Source organism: Homo sapiens, chromosome 1 (genome assembly GCF_000001405.40).
Source record: "Homo sapiens chromosome 1, GRCh38.p14 Primary Assembly".
NCBI classification, from domain to species: domain Eukaryota; kingdom Metazoa; phylum Chordata; class Mammalia; order Primates; family Hominidae; genus Homo; species Homo sapiens.
This window is the reverse complement of record NC_000001.11, coordinates 145294736-145315034: the sequence shown is the minus strand read 5'-3', so window position 1 is coordinate 145315034 and position 20299 is coordinate 145294736. Positions and strand designations below refer to the sequence as shown.

General features: G+C 44.2%; 1 protein-coding gene across 3 annotated transcripts in view; it reads left to right on the top strand.

Annotated features, from left to right (window-relative positions):
* The window catches only part of NBPF20 (NBPF member 20), a 135704-nt gene that overhangs the window by 110569 nt on the left and 4836 nt on the right, over window positions 1-20299 (top strand). Inside the window, exons 114-139 of one of the 3 annotated variants that reach the window (NM_001397211.1) lie at window positions 319-370; window positions 1031-1203; window positions 1918-2026; window positions 2655-2827; window positions 3547-3598; window positions 4205-4377; window positions 5087-5138; window positions 5787-5959; window positions 6674-6782; window positions 7386-7558; window positions 8268-8319; window positions 8970-9142; window positions 9857-9965; window positions 10569-10741; window positions 11451-11502; window positions 12139-12311; window positions 13026-13134; window positions 13763-13935; window positions 14655-14706; window positions 15315-15487; window positions 16197-16248; window positions 16901-17073; window positions 17788-17896; window positions 18525-18697; window positions 19417-19468; window positions 20081-20253. The exons of 1 other annotated variant lie outside the window; for it this stretch is intronic. In NM_001397211.1, the coding sequence (NP_001384140.1) occupies window positions 319-370; window positions 1031-1203; window positions 1918-2026; window positions 2655-2827; window positions 3547-3598; window positions 4205-4377; window positions 5087-5138; window positions 5787-5959; window positions 6674-6782; window positions 7386-7558; window positions 8268-8319; window positions 8970-9142; window positions 9857-9965; window positions 10569-10741; window positions 11451-11502; window positions 12139-12311; window positions 13026-13134; window positions 13763-13935; window positions 14655-14706; window positions 15315-15487; window positions 16197-16248; window positions 16901-17073; window positions 17788-17896; window positions 18525-18697; window positions 19417-19468; window positions 20081-20253 (3210 nt within the window). The remainder of the gene's footprint in view (window positions 1-318; window positions 371-1030; window positions 1204-1917; window positions 2027-2654; window positions 2828-3546; window positions 3599-4204; window positions 4378-5086; window positions 5139-5786; window positions 5960-6673; window positions 6783-7385; window positions 7559-8267; window positions 8320-8969; window positions 9143-9856; window positions 9966-10568; window positions 10742-11450; window positions 11503-12138; window positions 12312-13025; window positions 13135-13762; window positions 13936-14654; window positions 14707-15314; window positions 15488-16196; window positions 16249-16900; window positions 17074-17787; window positions 17897-18524; window positions 18698-19416; window positions 19469-20080; window positions 20254-20299) is intronic. One more of the 3 variants, NM_001278267.1, reaches the window with a different exon arrangement.

Here is a 20299-nt window from a genome sequence, read left to right as displayed (position 1 = left end):
TGCAGTTTTCCTCCTAGAAATCATCTGGGGCATTTTCTTTGAACTGATGGGAACAATAAGGCATAACTGTTTGCACAAACTTGGGATAAATGATTTTGGGATAACGATCTACCAGAATGGGGATATTTCACCCTTGGTTCTGAGATGCAAACCAAAGAATATCATGACCAGCTTTCAGGCCTCCTGAAGTATCTCTCTCACATTGTCCTGTTCTCATGCTGAGGAGCCTGAGATCCCTGTGTGGGGATTAGACAGTGGACTGTTATGGGTGTAGGTGAATTGGCTTATTTTGTCTGTCCCTGTCTGAATGTATTGCAGGAACTAAAAAGGACCAAGAAGAGGAAGAAGACCAAGGCCCACCATGCCCCAGGTAACTGAGCAATTGTGAACAGCTACTTCTGTGTTGACATCTGGAGACTCCTGGTTCAGGGAAAACAGAGCGGGCTGACATTATCGATTACATCTTTTCCAGCAAGCCTGAATTATTCCTACTAACATTGCTGTTGGTTTTCATTGCAGTAGATATTTAGGTTTCCATTTCTTCCTCCCCTTATCATTTACTAACCTACTGTAGGTGGACCAGACTTCAAAAACTGTATTCTCATGGCGACTGCATGGAAACTTGAGCACATTTTATGGAAAATTATTGAGCACAGTCTTTTCATGATCCCTGTATGCTGTGTGTCCTGAGGGCACTAACTCAGAGTGTCCTGTTACTCCCTCATCAGTGTGTCACCTGGACAATTCACTGAGCTCGTTCTCTCTCTGTGTGTGTGTGTGTCTGTGTGTGTGTCTGTGTGTGTGTGTGTGTGTGTGTGTGTGTGTGTGTGTGTCTATCTGTCTTTCTCTTTCATTCTTTTCCATTTGGCCCTGTTCTGTCCCAACATGAAGGCAATAATTTGTTACCTCATTAATGGATCTATCCTTTTAGTTTTTTAACCACTTCCCTATGCTACCCATGAAACCTAGTTGGGGCTCTGTTGTGTCTGATTTCCCCTGGCTTATTCTTTACTTTTTCCTCCTTTTCCAGGCTCAGCAGGGAGCTGCTGGAGGTAGTAGAGCCTGAAGTCTTGCAGGACTCACTGGATAGATGTTATTCAACTCCTTCCAGTTGTCTTGAACAGCCTGACTCCTGCCAGCCCTATGGAAGTTCCTTTTATGCATTGGAGGAAAAACATGTTGGCTTTTCTCTTGACGTGGGAGGTGAGTACCTTTCTATGAAGGTGATAAGGATCCACTGAGTCTTCCATATAAAGATCATATTCCTGCTCCAAGTGGCCATTACTGAGCTGAGAGATGTCATTGCCACAGGGAGGACCTATAGGCACATGTAGGTTGAATGAAACTCTAGTTCTACCTGGAAGCCCAGGCAAGGGATGGGTCAGTGAGCAAGACTCTCTTCCTAGTCTCAGGCCATACCTGTGGCGCCCTGATCCTATCCTCATGACATTGGACCTGGGCAGATGTGACAAATTCAGAGAACTATGATTTTGACTCAAGGGTTTGTAGATTTCCTTTTTCACTCTAATTTCAGTGTCTAAAGTCCTCACAACCATGAACAATCTGAGTATTTGATGAGACAGGGCTAAATATTGCAGTTTTTCTCCTAGAAATCATTTGAGGGTATTTGCTTTAAGTTGATTGGAAAAATATGGCATAACTGTTTGCACAAACTTGGGACAAATGATATTGGGATAACGATCTACTAGAATAGGGACATTTTACCCACAGTTTCTGGGAGAAAAACCGAGGAATTTCTATCATGACCAGCCTTCAGGCCTCCTGAAATATATCTCTCACGGTGTCCTATTCTTATGCTGAGGAGCCTGAGGTCCCTGTGTGAGGATTAGACAGTGGATTGTTATGTGTGTAGGGGAATCAGCTTAATGTGTCTGTCCATGTCTGAATTTATTGCAGAAATTGAAAAGAAGGGGAAGGGGAAGAAAAGAAGGGGAAGAAGATCAAAGAAGGAAAGAAGAAGGGGAAGAAAAGAAGGGGAAGAAGATCAAACCCCACCATGCCCCAGGTGACTTTCAGCAATTGTGGATGCTTAATTCTGTGTTAACACCTGGAGGCAACAGATTCAGGGAAACCAGAGTGTGTTTGATGTCATGTTTTCAACGAAGGCTGAATTACTCCTACTGTCATTGCTGTTGGTTTTCATTGCAGTAGATGTTTAGGTTTCCATTTCTTCCTCCCCTTATCATTTCCTAACGTACCATAGGTTGACCATACTTCAAAAGCTGTACTCTCATGGCCACTGCATCGAATTTTGAGCATATTTTATGGAAAACTATTGAGCTCACTCTTTTCATGATCACAGTTTGCTGTGTGTCATGAGGGCACTAACTCAGAGTGTCCTTTTACTCCCTTACCAGTATGTCACCTGGCCAATTCACTAGGTCACTTTCTCTCTGTCTCTGTCTCTGTCTCTCTCTCTGTCTCTGTCTCTCTCTCTCTCTCTGTCTTTCTCTTTCATTGTTTTCTACCTGGCCCTGTTCTATCCCAACATAAAGGCAATAATTTGTTACCTCATTAATGGATCTGTCCTTTTTCTTTTCAAACTCTTCCTTACGTTAGCCATGAAATCTAGCTGGGGCTGTGTGGTTTCTGATTCCCCCTGGCTTATTCTTTACTTTTTCCCACTTTTCCAGGCTCAGCAGGGAGCTGCTGGATGAGAAAGGGCCTGAAGTCTTGCAGGACTCACTGGATAGATGTTATTCAACTCCTTCAGGTTGTCTTGAACTGACTGACTCATGCCAGCCCTACAGAAGTGCCTTTTACGTATTGGAGCAACAGCGTGTTGGCTTGGCTGTTGACATGGATGGTGAGTACCTTTCTATGAAGGTGATAAGGATCCACTGAGTCTTCTGGTTAGGGTCATATTCCTACTGCAAGTGGCCCTTACTGAGCTGAGAGATGTCATTGCCACAGGGAGGTCCTATAGGCACATGTAGGTTGAATGAAACTCTAGTTCCACTTGGAAGCCCAGACAAGGGATGGGTCAGTGAGCAAGGCTCTCTTCCTAGTCTCAGGCCATGCCTGTGGCGCCCTAATCCTACTCTCATGACGTTGGACCTGGGCAGATGTGACAAATTCACACAACTCTGATTTTGTCTGAATTTTGTAGATCTTGTAGATTTCATCCTTCACTCTAATTTCAGCATCTAAAATCCTCGCTACCGTGAACAATCTGAGTATTTGATGAGACAGGGCTGAATAGTGCAGTTTTTCTCCTAGCAACCATTTGGGGGCATTTGCTTTAAATCGATTGGAAAAATATGGCATAACCATTTGCACAAACTTGGGACAAATGATATTGGGATAACGATCTACCAGAATAGGGAATTTTACCCACAGTTTCTGGGACAAAAACCAAGGAATCTCTATCGTGATCAGCCTTCAGGCCTCCTGAAGACTATCTCTCACAGTGTCCTATTCTCATGCTGAGGAGCCTGAAGTCCCTGTGTGAGGATTAGACAGTGGATTGTTATGTGTGTAGGAGAACCAGCTTAATATGTCTGTCCATGTCTGAACTTATTGCAGAAATTGAAAAGTACCAAGAAGTGGAAGAAGACCAAGACCCATCATGCCCCAGGTAACTTTGAGCAATTATGGATGCTTAATTCTGTGTTGACACCTGGAGATGCCAGGTCCAGGGAAAACAAGAGTGTGTTCAATTTCATGTTTTCAACGAAGGTTGAATTACTCCTCCTGATATTGCTGTTGGTTTTCATTGCAGTAGATGTTTAGGTTTCCATTTCTTCCTCCCCTTATCATTTACTAACTTACTATAGGTTGACCATACCTCAAAGGCTGTATGGCAACTGCATGGAATCTTGAGCAAGTTTATGGAAAATTATTGAGCCCACTCTTTTCATGATCACTGTTCGCTGTGTGTCCCGAGGGCACTAACTCAGAGTGTCCTTTGACCCCTTCATCAGTGTGTCACCCGGCCAACTCGCTGAGCTTACTTTCTCCTCTCTCTCTCTCTCTCTCTCCCTCCCTCTCCCTGTCTTTCTCTTTCATTCTTTTCTACCTGGCCCTGGTCTATCCCAACATAAAGGCAATAATTCATTACCTCATTAATGGATCTGTCCTTTTTCTTTTTAAACAGTTCCTTATGTTAGCCATGAAATCTAGCTGGGGCTGTGTGGTTTCTGATTCCCCCTGGCTTATTCTTTACTTTTTCCTACTTTTCCAGGCTCAGCAGGGAGCTGCTGGATGAGAAAGAGCCTGAAGTCTTGCAGGACTCACTGGATAGATGTTATTCGACTCCTTCAGGTTATCTTGAACTGCCTGACTTAGGCCAGCCCTACAGCAGTGCTGTTTACTCATTGGAGGAACAGTACCTTGGCTTGGCTCTTGACGTGGACAGTGAGTACCTTACTGTGAAGGTGATAAGCCTCCACCTGGTCTTCCAGATAGGGGTGATATTCCTGTTCCAAGTGGCCCTTACTGACCCGAGAGATGTCATTGCCGCAGGCAGGACCTATGGGCGCATATAGGTTGTAATGAAACTGTAGTCTCAGTTGGAAGCCTAGACATGAAATGGGTCAGTGAGCAAGGCTCTATTCCTAGTCTCCAGCCATGCCTGTGGCAAGCTGAGCCCGCTCTCAGCACATTGGACCCAGGCAGATGTAAAAAATTCACAGAAGTATGATTTGGACTGAAGGGTTTGTAGATTTCCTCCTTCATTCTAATTTCAGTGTCTAAAATTCTTGCATCCATGAACGAGCTGGGCATTTGATGAGACAGGGCTGAATACTGCAGTTTTCCTCCTAGAAATCATCTGGGGCATTTTCTTTGAACTGATGGGAACAATAAGGCATAACTGTTTGCACAAACTTGGGATAAATGATTTTGGGATAACGATCTACCAGAATGGGGATATTTCACCCTTGGTTCTGAGATGCAAACCAAAGAATATCATGACCAGCTTTCAGGCCTCCTGAAGTATCTCTCTCACATTGTCCTGTTCTCATGCTGAGGAGCCTGAGATCCCTGTGTGGGGATTAGACAGTGGACTGTTATGGGTGTAGGTGAATTGGCTTATTTTGTCTGTCCCTGTCTGAATGTATTGCAGGAACTAAAAAGGACCAAGAAGAGGAAGAAGACCAAGGCCCACCATGCCCCAGGTAACTGAGCAATTGTGAACAGCTACTTCTGTGTTGACATCTGGAGACTCCTGGTTCAGGGAAAACAGAGCGGGCTGACATTATCGATTACATCTTTTCCAGCAAGCCTGAATTATTCCTACTAACATTGCTGTTGGTTTTCATTGCAGTAGATATTTAGGTTTCCATTTCTTCCTCCCCTTATCATTTACTAACCTACTGTAGGTGGACCAGACTTCAAAAACTGTATTCTCATGGCGACTGCATGGAAACTTGAGCACATTTTATGGAAAATTATTGAGCACAGTCTTTTCATGATCCCTGTATGCTGTGTGTCCTGAGGGCACTAACTCAGAGTGTCCTGTTACTCCCTCATCAGTGTGTCACCTGGATAATTCACTGAGCTCGTTCTCTCTCTCTGTGTGTGTGTGTGTGTCTGTGTGTGTGTGTGTGTGTGTGTGTGTGTGTGTGTCTATCTGTCTTTCTCTTTCATTCTTTTCCATTTGGCCCTGTTCTGTCCCAACATGAAGGCAATAATTTGTTACCTCATTAATTGATCTATCCTTTTAGTTTTTTAACCACTTCCCTATGCTACCCATGAAACCTAGTTGGGGCTCTGTTGTGTCTGATTTCCCCTGGCTTATTCTTTACTTTTTCCTCCTTTTCCAGGCTCAGCAGGGAGCTGCTGGAGGTAGTAGAGCCTGAAGTCTTGCAGGACTCACTGGATAGATGTTATTCAACTCCTTCCAGTTGTCTTGAACAGCCTGACTCCTGCCAGCCCTATGGAAGTTCCTTTTATGCATTGGAGGAAAAACATGTTGGCTTTTCTCTTGACGTGGGAGGTGAGTACCTTTCTATGAAGGTGATAAGGATCCACTGAGTCTTCCATATAAAGATCATATTCCTGCTCCAAGTGGCCATTACTGAGCTGAGAGATGTCATTGCCACAGGGAGGACCTATAGGCACATGTAGGTTGAATGAAACTCTAGTTCTACCTGGAAGCCCAGGCAAGGGATGGGTCAGTGAGCAAGACTCTCTTCCTAGTCTCAGGCCATACCTGTGGCGCCCTGATCCTATCCTCATGACATTGGACCTGGGCAGATGTGACAAATTCAGAGAACTATGATTTTGACTCAAGGGTTTGTAGATTTCCTTTTTCACTCTAATTTCAGTGTCTAAAGTCCTCACAACCATGAACAATCTGAGTATTTGATGAGACAGGGCTAAATATTGCAGTTTTTCTCCTAGAAATCATTTGAGGGTATTTGCTTTAAGTTGATTGGAAAAATATGGCATAACTGTTTGCACAAACTTGGGACAAATGATATTGGGATAACGATCTACTAGAATAGGGACATTTTACCCACAGTTTCTGGGAGAAAAACCGAGGAATTTCTATCATGACCAGCCTTCAGGCCTCCTGAAATATATCTCTCACGGTGTCCTATTCTTATGCTGAGGAGCCTGAGGTCCCTGTGTGAGGATTAGACAGTGGATTGTTATGTGTGTAGGGGAATCAGCTTAATGTGTCTGTCCATGTCTGAATTTATTGCAGAAATTGAAAAGAAGGGGAAGGGGAAGAAAAGAAGGGGAAGAAGATCAAAGAAGGAAAGAAGAAGGGGAAGAAAAGAAGGGGAAGAAGATCAAAACCCACCATGCCCCAGGTGACTTTCAGCAATTGTGGATGCTTAATTCTGTGTTAACACCTGGAGGCAACAGATTCAGGGAAACCAGAGTGTGTTTGATGTCATGTTTTCAACGAAGGCTGAATTACTCCTACTGTCATTGCTGTTGGTTTTCATTGCAGTAGATGTTTAGGTTTCCATTTCTTCCTCCCCTTATCATTTACTAACTTACTATAGGTTGACCATACCTCAAAGGCTGTATGGCAACTGCATGGAATCTTGAGCAAGTTTATGGAAAATTATTGAGCCCACTCTTTTCATGATCACTGTTCGCTGTGTGTCCCGAGGGCACTAACTCAGAGTGTCCTTTGACCCCTTCATCAGTGTGTCACCCGGCCAACTCGCTGAGCTCACTTTCTCCTCTCTCTCTCTCTCTCTCCCTCCCTCTCCCTGTCTTTCTCTTTCATTCTTTTCTACCTGGCCCTGGTCTATCCCAACATAAAGGCAATAATTCATTACCTCATTAATGGATCTGTCCTTTTTCTTTTTAAACAGTTCCTTATGTTAGCCATGAAATCTAGCTGGGGCTGTGTGGTTTCTGATTCCCCCTGGCTTATTCTTTACTTTTTCCTACTTTTCCAGGCTCAGCAGGGAGCTGCTGGATGAGAAAGAGCCTGAAGTCTTGCAGGACTCACTGGATAGATGTTATTCGACTCCTTCAGGTTATCTTGAACTGCCTGACTTAGGCCAGCCCTACAGCAGTGCTGTTTACTCATTGGAGGAACAGTACCTTGGCTTGGCTCTTGACGTGGACAGTGAGTACCTTACTGTGAAGGTGATAAGCCTCCACCTGGTCTTCCAGATAGGGGTGATATTCCTGTTCCAAGTGGCCCTTACTGACCCGAGAGATGTCATTGCCGCAGGCAGGACCTATGGGCGCATATAGGTTGTAATGAAACTGTAGTCTCAGTTGGAAGCCTAGACATGAAATGGGTCAGTGAGCAAGGCTCTATTCCTAGTCTCCAGCCATGCCTGTGGCAAGCTGAGCCCGCTCTCAGCACATTGGACCCAGGCAGATGTAAAAAATTCACAGAACTATGATTTGGACTGAAGGGTTTGTAGATTTCCTCCTTCATTCTAATTTCAGTGTCTAAAATTCTTGCATCCATGAACGAGCTGGGCATTTGATGAGACAGGGCTGAATACTGCAGTTTTCCTCCTAGAAATCATCTGGGGCATTTTCTTTGAACTGATGGGAACAATAAGGCATAACTGTTTGCACAAACTTGGGATAAATGATTTTGGGATAACGATCTACCAGAATGGGGATATTTCACCCTTGGTTCTGAGATGCAAACCAAAGAATATCATGACCAGCTTTCAGGCCTCCTGAAGTATCTCTCTCACATTGTCCTGTTCTCATGCTGAGGAGCCTGAGATCCCTGTGTGGGGATTAGACAGTGGACTGTTATGGGTGTAGGTGAATTGGCTTATTTTGTCTGTCCCTGTCTGAATGTATTGCAGGAACTAAAAAGGACCAAGAAGAGGAAGAAGACCAAGGCCCACCATGCCCCAGGTAACTGAGCAATTGTGAACAGCTACTTCTGTGTTGACATCTGGAGACTCCTGGTTCAGGGAAAACAGAGCGGGCTGACATTATCGATTACATCTTTTCCAGCAAGCCTGAATTATTCCTACTAACATTGCTGTTGGTTTTCATTGCAGTAGATATTTAGGTTTCCATTTCTTCCTCCCCTTATCATTTACTAACCTACTGTAGGTGGACCAGACTTCAAAAACTGTATTCTCATGGCGACTGCATGGAAACTTGAGCACATTTTATGGAAAATTATTGAGCACAGTCTTTTCATGATCCCTGTATGCTGTGTGTCCTGAGGGCACTAACTCAGAGTGTCCTGTTACTCCCTCATCAGTGTGTCACCTGGACAATTCACTGAGCTCGTTCTCTCTCTCTGTGTGTGTGTGTGTGTCTGTGTGTGTGTGTGTGTGTGTGTGTGTGTGTGTGTGTCTATCTGTCTTTCTCTTTCATTCTTTTCCATTTGGCCCTGTTCTGTCCCAACATGAAGGCAATAATTTGTTACCTCATTAATGGATCTATCCTTTTAGTTTTTTAACCACTTCCCTATGCTACCCATGAAACCTAGTTGGGGCTCTGTTGTGTCTGATTTCCCCTGGCTTATTCTTTACTTTTTCCTCCTTTTCCAGGCTCAGCAGGGAGCTGCTGGAGGTAGTAGAGCCTGAAGTCTTGCAGGACTCACTGGATAGATGTTATTCAACTCCTTCCAGTTGTCTTGAACAGCCTGACTCCTGCCAGCCCTATGGAAGTTCCTTTTATGCATTGGAGGAAAAACATGTTGGCTTTTCTCTTGACGTGGGAGGTGAGTACCTTTCTATGAAGGTGATAAGGATCCACTGAGTCTTCCATATAAAGATCATATTCCTGCTCCAAGTGGCCATTACTGAGCTGAGAGATGTCATTGCCACAGGGAGGACCTATAGGCACATGTAGGTTGAATGAAACTCTAGTTCTACCTGGAAGCCCAGGCAAGGGATGGGTCAGTGAGCAAGACTCTCTTCCTAGTCTCAGGCCATACCTGTGGCGCCCTGATCCTATCCTCATGACATTGGACCTGGGCAGATGTGACAAATTCAGAGAACTATGATTTTGACTCAAGGGTTTGTAGATTTCCTTTTTCACTCTAATTTCAGTGTCTAAAGTCCTCACAACCATGAACAATCTGAGTATTTGATGAGACAGGGCTAAATATTGCAGTTTTTCTCCTAGAAATCATTTGAGGGTATTTGCTTTAAGTTGATTGGAAAAATATGGCATAACTGTTTGCACAAACTTGGGACAAATGATATTGGGATAACGATCTACTAGAATAGGGACATTTTACCCACAGTTTCTGGGAGAAAAACCGAGGAATTTCTATCATGACCAGCCTTCAGGCCTCCTGAAATATATCTCTCACGGTGTCCTATTCTTATGCTGGGGAGCCTGAGGTCCCTGTGTGAGGATTAGACAGTGGATTGTTATGTGTGTAGGGGAATCAGCTTAATGTGTCTGTCCATGTCTGAATTTATTGCAGAAATTGAAAAGAAGGGGAAGGGGAAGAAAAGAAGGGGAAGAAGATCAAAGAAGGAAAGAAGAAGGGGAAGAAAAGAAGGGGAAGAAGATCAAAACCCACCATGCCCCAGGTGACTTTCAGCAATTGTGGATGCTTAATTCTGTGTTAACACCTGGAGGCAACAGATTCAGGGAAACCAGAGTGTGTTTGATGTCATGTTTTCAACGAAGGCTGAATTACTCCTACTGTCATTGCTGTTGGTTTTCATTGCAGTAGATGTTTAGGTTTCCATTTCTTCCTCCCCTTATCATTTACTAACTTACTATAGGTTGACCATACCTCAAAGGCTGTATGGCAACTGCATGGAATCTTGAGCAAGTTTATGGAAAATTATTGAGCCCACTCTTTTCATGATCACTGTTCGCTGTGTGTCCCGAGGGCACTAACTCAGAGTGTCCTTTGACCCCTTCATCAGTGTGTCACCCGGCCAACTCGCTGAGCTCACTTTCTCCTCTCTCTCTCTCTCTCTCCCTCCCTCTCCCTGTCTTTCTCTTTCATTCTTTTCTACCTGGCCCTGGTCTATCCCAACATAAAGGCAATAATTCATTACCTCATTAATGGATCTGTCCTTTTTCTTTTTAAACAGTTCCTTATGTTAGCCATGAAATCTAGCTGGGGCTGTGTGGTTTCTGATTCCCCCTGGCTTATTCTTTACTTTTTCCTACTTTTCCAGGCTCAGCAGGGAGCTGCTGGATGAGAAAGAGCCTGAAGTCTTGCAGGACTCACTGGATAGATGTTATTCGACTCCTTCAGGTTATCTTGAACTGCCTGACTTAGGCCAGCCCTACAGCAGTGCTGTTTACTCATTGGAGGAACAGTACCTTGGCTTGGCTCTTGACGTGGACAGTGAGTACCTTACTGTGAAGGTGATAAGCCTCCACCTGGTCTTCCAGATAGGGGTGATATTCCTGTTCCAAGTGGCCCTTACTGACCCGAGAGATGTCATTGCCGCAGGCAGGACCTATGGGCGCATATAGGTTGTAATGAAACTGTAGTCTCAGTTGGAAGCCTAGACATGAAATGGGTCAGTGAGCAAGGCTCTATTCCTAGTCTCCAGCCATGCCTGTGGCAAGCTGAGCCCGCTCTCAGCACATTGGACCCAGGCAGATGTAAAAAATTCACAGAAGTATGATTTGGACTGAAGGGTTTGTAGATTTCCTCCTTCATTCTAATTTCAGTGTCTAAAATTCTTGCATCCATGAACGAGCTGGGCATTTGATGAGACAGGGCTGAATACTGCAGTTTTCCTCCTAGAAATCATCTGGGGCATTTTCTTTGAACTGATGGGAACAATAAGGCATAACTGTTTGCACAAACTTGGGATAAATAATTTTGGGATAACGATCTACCAGAATGGGGATATTTCACCCTTGGTTCTGAGATGCAAACCAAAGAATATCATGACCAGCTTTCAGGCCTCCTGAAGTATCTCTCTCACATTGTCCTGTTCTCATGCTGAGGAGCCTGAGATCCCTGTGTGGGGATTAGACAGTGGACTGTTATGGGTGTAGGTGAATTGGCTTATTTTGTCTGTCCCTGTCTGAATGTATTGCAGGAACTAAAAAGGACCAAGAAGAGGAAGAAGACCAAGGCCCACCATGCCCCAGGTAACTGAGCAATTGTGAACAGCTACTTCTGTGTTGACATCTGGAGACTCCTGGTTCAGGGAAAACAGAGCGGGCTGACATTATCGATTACATCTTTTCCAGCAAGCCTGAATTATTCCTACTAACATTGCTGTTGGTTTTCATTGCAGTAGATATTTAGGTTTCCATTTCTTCCTCCCCTTATCATTTACTAACCTACTGTAGGTGGACCAGACTTCAAAAACTGTATTCTCATGGCGACTGCATGGAAACTTGAGCACATTTTATGGAAAATTATTGAGCACAGTCTTTTCATGATCCCTGTATGCTGTGTGTCCTGAGGGCACTAACTCAGAGTGTCCTGTTACTCCCTCATCAGTGTGTCACCTGGACAATTCACTGAGCTCGTTCTCTCTCTCTCTGTGTGTGTGTGTGTGTGTGTGTGTGTGTGTGTGTGTGTCTATCTGTCTTTCTCTTTCATTCTTTTCCATTTGGCCCTGTTCTGTCCCAACATGAAGGCAATAATTTGTTACCTCATTAATGGATCTATCCTTTTAGTTTTTTAACCACTTCCCTATGCTACCCATGAAACCTAGTTGGGGCTCTGTTGTGTCTGATTTCCCCTGGCTTATTCTTTACTTTTTCCTCCTTTTCCAGGCTCAGCAGGGAGCTGCTGGAGGTAGTAGAGCCTGAAGTCTTGCAGGACTCACTGGATAGATGTTATTCAACTCCTTCCAGTTGTCTTGAACAGCCTGACTCCTGCCAGCCCTATGGAAGTTCCTTTTATGCATTGGAGGAAAAACATGTTGGCTTTTCTCTTGACGTGGGAGGTGAGTACCTTTCTATGAAGGTGATAAGGATCCACTGAGTCTTCCATATAAAGATCATATTCCTGCTCCAAGTGGCCATTACTGAGCTGAGAGATGTCATTGCCACAGGGAGGACCTATAGGCACATGTAGGTTGAATGAAACTCTAGTTCTACCTGGAAGCCCAGGCAAGGGATGGGTCAGTGAGCAAGACTCTCTTCCTAGTCTCAGGCCATACCTGTGGCGCCCTGATCCTATCCTCATGACATTGGACCTGGGCAGATGTGACAAATTCAGAGAACTATGATTTTGACTCAAGGGTTTGTAGATTTCCTTTTTCACTCTAATTTCAGTGTCTAAAGTCCTCACAACCATGAACAATCTGAGTATTTGATGAGACAGGGCTAAATATTGCAGTTTTTCTCCTAGAAATCATTTGAGGGTATTTGCTTTAAGTTGATTGGAAAAATATGGCATAACTGTTTGCACAAACTTGGGACAAATGATATTGGGATAACGATCTACTAGAATAGGGACATTTTACCCACAGTTTCTGGGAGAAAAACCGAGGAATTTCTATCATGACCAGCCTTCAGGCCTCCTGAAATATATCTCTCACGGTGTCCTATTCTTATGCTGAGGAGCCTGAGGTCCCTGTGTGAGGATTAGACAGTGGATTGTTATGTGTGTAGGGGAATCAGCTTAATGTGTCTGTCCATGTCTGAATTTATTGCAGAAATTGAAAAGAAGGGGAAGGGGAAGAAAAGAAGGGGAAGAAGATCAAAGAAGGAAAGAAGAAGGGGAAGAAAAGAAGGGGAAGAAGATCAAAACCCACCATGCCCCAGGTGACTTTCAGCAATTGTGGATGCTTAATTCTGTGTTAACACCTGGAGGCAACAGATTCAGGGAAACCAGAGTGTGTTTGATGTCATGTTTTCAACGAAGGCTGAATTACTCCTACTGTCATTGCTGTTGGTTTTCATTGCAGTAGATGTTTAGGTTTCCATTTCTTCCTCCCCTTATCATTTCCTAACGTACCATAGGTTGACCATACTTCAAAAGCTGTACTCTCATGGCCACTGCATCGAATTTTGAGCATATTTTATGGAAAACTATTGAGCTCACTCTTTTCATGATCACAGTTTGCTGTGTGTCATGAGGGCACTAACTCAGAGTGTCCTTTTACTCCCTTACCAGTATGTCACCTGGCCAATTCACTAGGTCACTTTCTCTCTGTCTCTGTCTCTGTCTCTCTCTCTGTCTCTGTCTCTCTCTCTCTCTCTGTCTTTCTCTTTCATTGTTTTCTACCTGGCCCTGTTCTATCCCAACATAAAGGCAATAATTTGTTACCTCATTAATGGATCTGTCCTTTTTCTTTTCAAACTCTTCCTTACGTTAGCCATGAAATCTAGCTGGGGCTGTGTGGTTTCTGATTCCCCCTGGCTTATTCTTTACTTTTTCCCACTTTTCCAGGCTCAGCAGGGAGCTGCTGGATGAGAAAGGGCCTGAAGTCTTGCAGGACTCACTGGATAGAAGTTATTCAACTCCTTCAGGTTGTCTTGAACTGACTGACTCATGCCAGCCCTACAGAAGTGCCTTTTACGTATTGGAGCAACAGCGTGTTGGCTTGGCTGTTGACATGGATGGTGAGTACCTTTCTATGAAGGTGATAAGGATCCACTGAGTCTTCTGGTTAGGGTCATATTCCTACTGCAAGTGGCCCTTACTGAGCTGAGAGATGTCATTGCCACAGGGAGGTCCTATAGGCACATGTAGGTTGAATGAAACTCTAGTTCCACTTGGAAGCCCAGACAAGGGATGGGTCAGTGAGCAAGGCTCTCTTCCTAGTCTCAGGCCATGCCTGTGGCGCCCTAATCCTACTCTCATGACGTTGGACCTGGGCAGATGTGACAAATTCACACAACTCTGATTTTGTCTCAATTTTGTAGATCTTGTAGATTTCATCCTTCACTCTAATTTCAGCGTCTAAAATCCTCGCTACCGTGAACAATCTGAGTATTTGATGAGACAGGGCTGAATAGTGCAGTTTTTCTCCTAGCAACCATTTGGGGGCATTTGCTTTAAATCGATTGGAAAAATATGGCATAACCATTTGCACAAACTTGGGACAAATGATATTGGGATAACGATCTACCAGAATAGGGAATTTTACCCACAGTTTCTGGGACAAAAACCAAGGAATCTCTATGGTGATCAGCCTTCAGGCCTCCTGAAGACTATCTCTCACAGTGTCCTATTCTCATGCTGAGGAGCCTGAAGTCCCTGTGTGAGGATTAGACAGTGGATTGTTATGTGTGTAGGAGAACCAGCTTAATATGTCTGTCCATGTCTGAACTTATTGCAGAAATTGAAAAGTACCAAGAAGTGGAAGAAGACCAAGACCCATCATGCCCCAGGTAACTTTGAGCAATTATGGATGCTTAATTCTGTGTTGACACCTGGAGATGCCAGGTCCAGGGAAAACAAGAGTGTGTTCAATTTCATGTTTTCAACGAAGGTTGAATTACTCCTCCTGATATTGCTGTTGGTTTTCATTGCAGTAGATGTTTAGGTTTCCATTTCTTCCTCCCCTTATCATTTACTAACTTACTATAGGTTGACCATACCTCAAAGGCTGTATGGCAACTGCATGGAATCTTGAGCAAGTTTATGGAAAATTATTGAGCCCACTCTTTTCATGATCACTGTTCGCTGTGTGTCCCGAGGGCACTAACTCAGAGTGTCCTTTGACCCCTTCATCAGTGTGTCACCCGGCCAACTCGCTGAGCTTACTTTCTCCTCTCTCTCTCTCTCTCTCTCTCCCTCCCTCTCCCTGTCTTTCTCTTTCATTCTTTTCTACCTGGCCCTGGTCTATCCCAACATAAAGGCAATAATTCATTACCTCATTAATGGATCTGTCCTTTTTCTTTTTAAACAGTTCCTTATGTTAGCCATGAAATCTAGCTGGGGCTGTGTGGTTTCTGATTCCCCCTGGCTTATTCTTTACTTTTTCCTACTTTTCCAGGCTCAGCAGGGAGCTGCTGGATGAGAAAGAGCCTGAAGTCTTGCAGGACTCACTGGATAGATGTTATTCGACTCCTTCAGGTTATCTTGAACTGCCTGACTTAGGCCAGCCCTACAGCAGTGCTGTTTACTCATTGGAGGAACAGTACCTTGGCTTGGCTCTTGACGTGGACAGTGAGTACCTTACTGTGAAGGTGATAAGCCTCCACCTGGTCTTCCAGATAGGGGTGATATTCCTGTTCCAAGTGGCCCTTACTGACCCGAGAGATGTCATTGCCGCAGGCAGGACCTATGGGCGCATATAGGTTGTAATGAAACTGTAGTCTCAGTTGGAAGCCTAGACATGAAATGGGTCAGTGAGCAAGGCTCTATTCCTAGTCTCCAGCCATGCCTGTGGCAAGCTGAGCCCGCTCTCAGCACATTGGACCCAGGCAGATGTAAAAAATTCACAGAAGTATGATTTGGACTCAAGGGTTTGTAGATTTCCTCCTTCATTCTAATTTCAGTGTCTAAAATTCTTGCATCCATGAACGAGCTGGGCATTTGATGAGACAGGGCTGAATACTGCAGTTTTCCTCCTAGAAATCATCTGGGGCATTTTCTTTGAACTGATGGGAACAATAAGGCATAACTGTTTGCACAAACTTGGGATAAATGATTTTGGGATAACGATCTACCAGAATGGGGATATTTCACCCTTGGTTCTGAGATGCAAACCAAAGAATATCATGACCAGCTTTCAGGCCTCCTGAAGTATCTCTCTCACATTGTCCTGTTCTCATGCTGAGGAGCCTGAGATCCCTGTGTGGGGATTAGACAGTGGACTGTTATGGGTGTAGGTGAATTGGCTTATTTTGTCTGTCCCTGTCTGAATGTATTGCAGGAACTAAAAAGGACCAAGAAGAGGAAGAAGACCAAGGCCCACCATGCCCCAGGTAACTGAGCAATTGTGAACAGCTACTTCTGTGTTGACATCTGGAGACTCCTGGTTCAGGGAAAACAGAGCGGGCTGACATTATCGATTACATCTTTTCCAGCAAGCCTGAATTATTCCTACTAACATTGCTGTTGGTTTTCATTGCAGTAGATATTTAGGTTTCCATTTCTTCCTCCCCTTATCATTTACTAACCTACTGTAGGTGGACCAGACTTCAAAAACTGTATTCTCATGGCGACTGCATGGAAACTTGAGCACATTTTATGGAAAATTATTGAGCACAGTCTTTTCATGATCCCTGTATGCTGTGTGTCCTGAGGGCACTAACTCAGAGTGTCCTGTTACTCCCTCATCAGTGTGTCACCTGGACAATTCACTGAGCTCGTTCTCTCTCTCTGTGTGTGTGTGTGTGTCTGTGTGTGTGTGTCTGTGTGTGTGTGTGTGTGTGTGTGTCTATCTGTCTTTCTCTTTCATTCTTTTCCATTTGGCCCTGTTCTGTCCCAACATGAAGGCAATAATTTGTTACCTCATTAATGGATCTATCCTTTTAGTTTTTTAACCACTTCCCTATGCTACCCATGAAACCTAGTTGGGGCTCTGTTGTGTCTGATTTCCCCTGGCTTATTCTTTACTTTTTCCTCCTTTTCCAGGCTCAGCAGGGAGCTGCTGGAGGTAGTAGAGCCTGAAGTCTTGCAGGACTCACTGGATAGATGTTATTCAACTCCTTCCAGTTGTCTTGAACAGCCTGACTCCTGCCAGCCCTATGGAAGTTCCTTTTATGCATTGGAGGAAAAACATGTTGGCTTTTCTCTCGACGTGGGAGGTGAGTACCTTTCTATGAAGGTGATAAGGATCCACTGAGTCTTCCATATAAAGATCATATTCCTGCTCCAAGTGGCCATTACTGAGCTGAGAGATGTCATTGCCACAGGGAGGACCTATAGGCACATGTAGGTTGAATGAAACTCTAGTTCTACCTGGAAGCCCAGGCAAGGGATGGGTCAGTGAGCAAGACTCTCTTCCTAGTCTCAGGCCGTACCTGTGGCGCCCTGATCCTATCCTCATGACATTGGACCTGGGCAGATGTGACAAATTCAGAGAACTATGATTTTGACTCAAGGGTTTGTAGATTTCCTTTTTCACTCTAATTTCAGTGTCTAAAGTCCTCACAACCATGAACAATCTGAGTATTTGATGAGACAGGGCTAAATATTGCAGTTTTTCTCCTAGAAATCATTTGAGGGTATTTGCTTTAAGTTGATTGGAAAAATATGGCATAACTGTTTGCACAAACTTGGGACAAATGATATTGGGATAACGATCTACTAGAATAGGGACATTTTACCCACAGTTTCTGGGAGAAAAACCGAGGAATTTCTATCATGACCAGCCTTCAGGCCTCCTGAAATATATCTCTCACGGTGTCCTATTCTTATGCTGAGGAGCCTGAGGTCCCTGTGTGAGGATTAGACAGTGGATTGTTATGTGTGTAGGGGAATCAGCTTAATGTGTCTGTCCATGTCTGAATTTATTGCAGAAATTGAAAAGAAGGGGAAGGGGAAGAAAAGAAGGGGAAGAAGATCAAAGAAGGAAAGAAGAAGGGGAAGAAAAGAAGGGGAAGAAGATCAAAACCCACCATGCCCCAGGTGACTTTCAGCAATTGTGGATGCTTAATTCTGTGTTAACACCTGGAGGCAACAGATTCAGGGAAACCAGAGTGTGTTTGATGTCATGTTTTCAACGAAGGCTGAATTACTCCTACTGTCATTGCTGTTGGTTTTCATTGCAGTAGATGTTTAGGTTTCCATTTCTTCCTCCCCTTATCATTTCCTAACGTACCATAGGTTGACCATACTTCAAAAGCTGTACTCTCATGGCCACTGCATCGAATTTTGAGCATATTTTATGGAAAACTATTGAGCTCACTCTTTTCATGATCACAGTTTGCTGTGTGTCATGAGGGCACTAACTCAGAGTGTCCTTTTACTCCCTTACCAGTATGTCACCTGGCCAATTCACTAGGTCACTTTCTCTCTGTCTCTGTCTCTGTCTCTCTCTCTGTCTCTGTCTCTCTCTCTCTCTCTGTCTTTCTCTTTCATTGTTTTCTACCTGGCCCTGTTCTATCCCAACATAAAGGCAATAATTTGTTACCTCATTAATGGATCTGTCCTTTTTCTTTTCAAACTCTTCCTTACGTTAGCCATGAAATCTAGCTGGGGCTGTGTGGTTTCTGATTCCCCCTGGCTTATTCTTTACTTTTTCCCACTTTTCCAGGCTCAGCAGGGAGCTGCTGGATGAGAAAGGGCCTGAAGTCTTGCAGGACTCACTGGATAGATGTTATTCAACTCCTTCAGGTTGTCTTGAACTGACTGACTCATGCCAGCCCTACAGAAGTGCCTTTTACGTATTGGAGCAACAGCGTGTTGGCTTGGCTGTTGACATGGATGGTGAGTACCTTTCTATGAAGGTGATAAGGATCCACTGAGTCTTCTGGTTAGGGTCATATTCCTACTGCAAGTGGCCCTTACTGAGCTGAGAGATGTCATTGCCACAGGGAGGTCCTATAGGCACATGTAGGTTGAATGAAACTCTAGTTCCACTTGGAAGCCCAGACAAGGGATGGGTCAGTGAGCAAGGCTCTCTTCCTAGTCTCAGGCCATGCCTGTGGCGCCCTAATCCTACTCTCATGATGTTGGACCTGGGCAGATGTGACAAATTCACACAACTCTGATTTTGTCTCAATTTTGTAGATCTTGTAGATTTCATCCTTCACTCTAATTTCAGCGTCTAAAATCCTCGATACCGTGAACAATCTGAGTATTTGATGAGACAGGGCTGAATAGTGCAGTTTTTCTCCTAGCAACCATTTGGGGGCATTTGCTTTAAATCGATTGGAAAAATATGGCATAACCATTTGCACAAACTTGGGACAAATGATATTGGGATAACGATCTACCAGAATAGGGAATTTTACCCACAGTTTCTGGGACAAAAACCAAGGAATCTCTATGGTGATCAGCCTTCAGGCCTCCTGAAGACTATCTCTCACAGTGTCCTATTCTCATGCTGAGGAGCCTGAAGTCCCTGTGTGAGGATTAGACAGTGGATTGTTATGTGTGTAGGAGAACCAGCTTAATATGTCTGTCCATGTCTGAACTTATTGCAGAAATTGAAAAGTACCAAGAAGTGGAAGAAGACCAAGACCCATCATGCCCCAGGTAACTTTGAGCAATTATGGATGCTTAATTCTGTGTTGACACCTGGAGATGCCAGGTCCAGGGAAAACAAGAGTGTGTTCAATTTCATGTTTTCAACGAAGGTTGAATTACTCCTCCTGATATTGCTGTTGGTTTTCATTGCAGTAGATGTTTAGGTTTCCATTTCTTCCTCCCCTTATCATTTACTAACTTACTATAGGTTGACCATACCTCAAAGGCTGTATGGCAACTGCATGGAATCTTGAGCAAGTTTATGGAAAATTATTGAGCCCACTCTTTTCATGATCACTGTTCGCTGTGTGTCCCGAGGGCACTAACTCAGAGTGTCCTTTGACCCCTTCATCAGTGTGTCACCCGGCCAACTCGCTGAGCTTACTTTCTCCTCTCTCTCTCTCTCTCTCTCTCTCTCCCTCCCTCTCCCTGTCTTTCTCTTTCATTCTTTTCTACCTGGCCCTGGTCTATCCCAACATAAAGGCAATAATTCATTACCTCATTAATGGATCTGTCCTTTTTCTTTTTAAACAGTTCCTTATGTTAGCCATGAAATCTAGCTGGGGCTGTGTGGTTTCTGATTCCCCCTGGCTTATTCTTTACTTTTTCCTACTTTTCCAGGCTCAGCAGGGAGCTGCTGGATGAGAAAGAGCCTGAAGTCTTGCAGGACTCACTGGATAGATGTTATTCGACTCCTTCAGGTTATCTTGAACTGCCTGACTTAGGCCAGCCCTACAGCAGTGCTGTTTACTCATTGGAGGAACAGTACCTTGGCTTGGCTCTTGACGTGGACAGTGAGTACCTTACTGTGAAGGTGATAAGCCTCCACCTGGTCTTCCA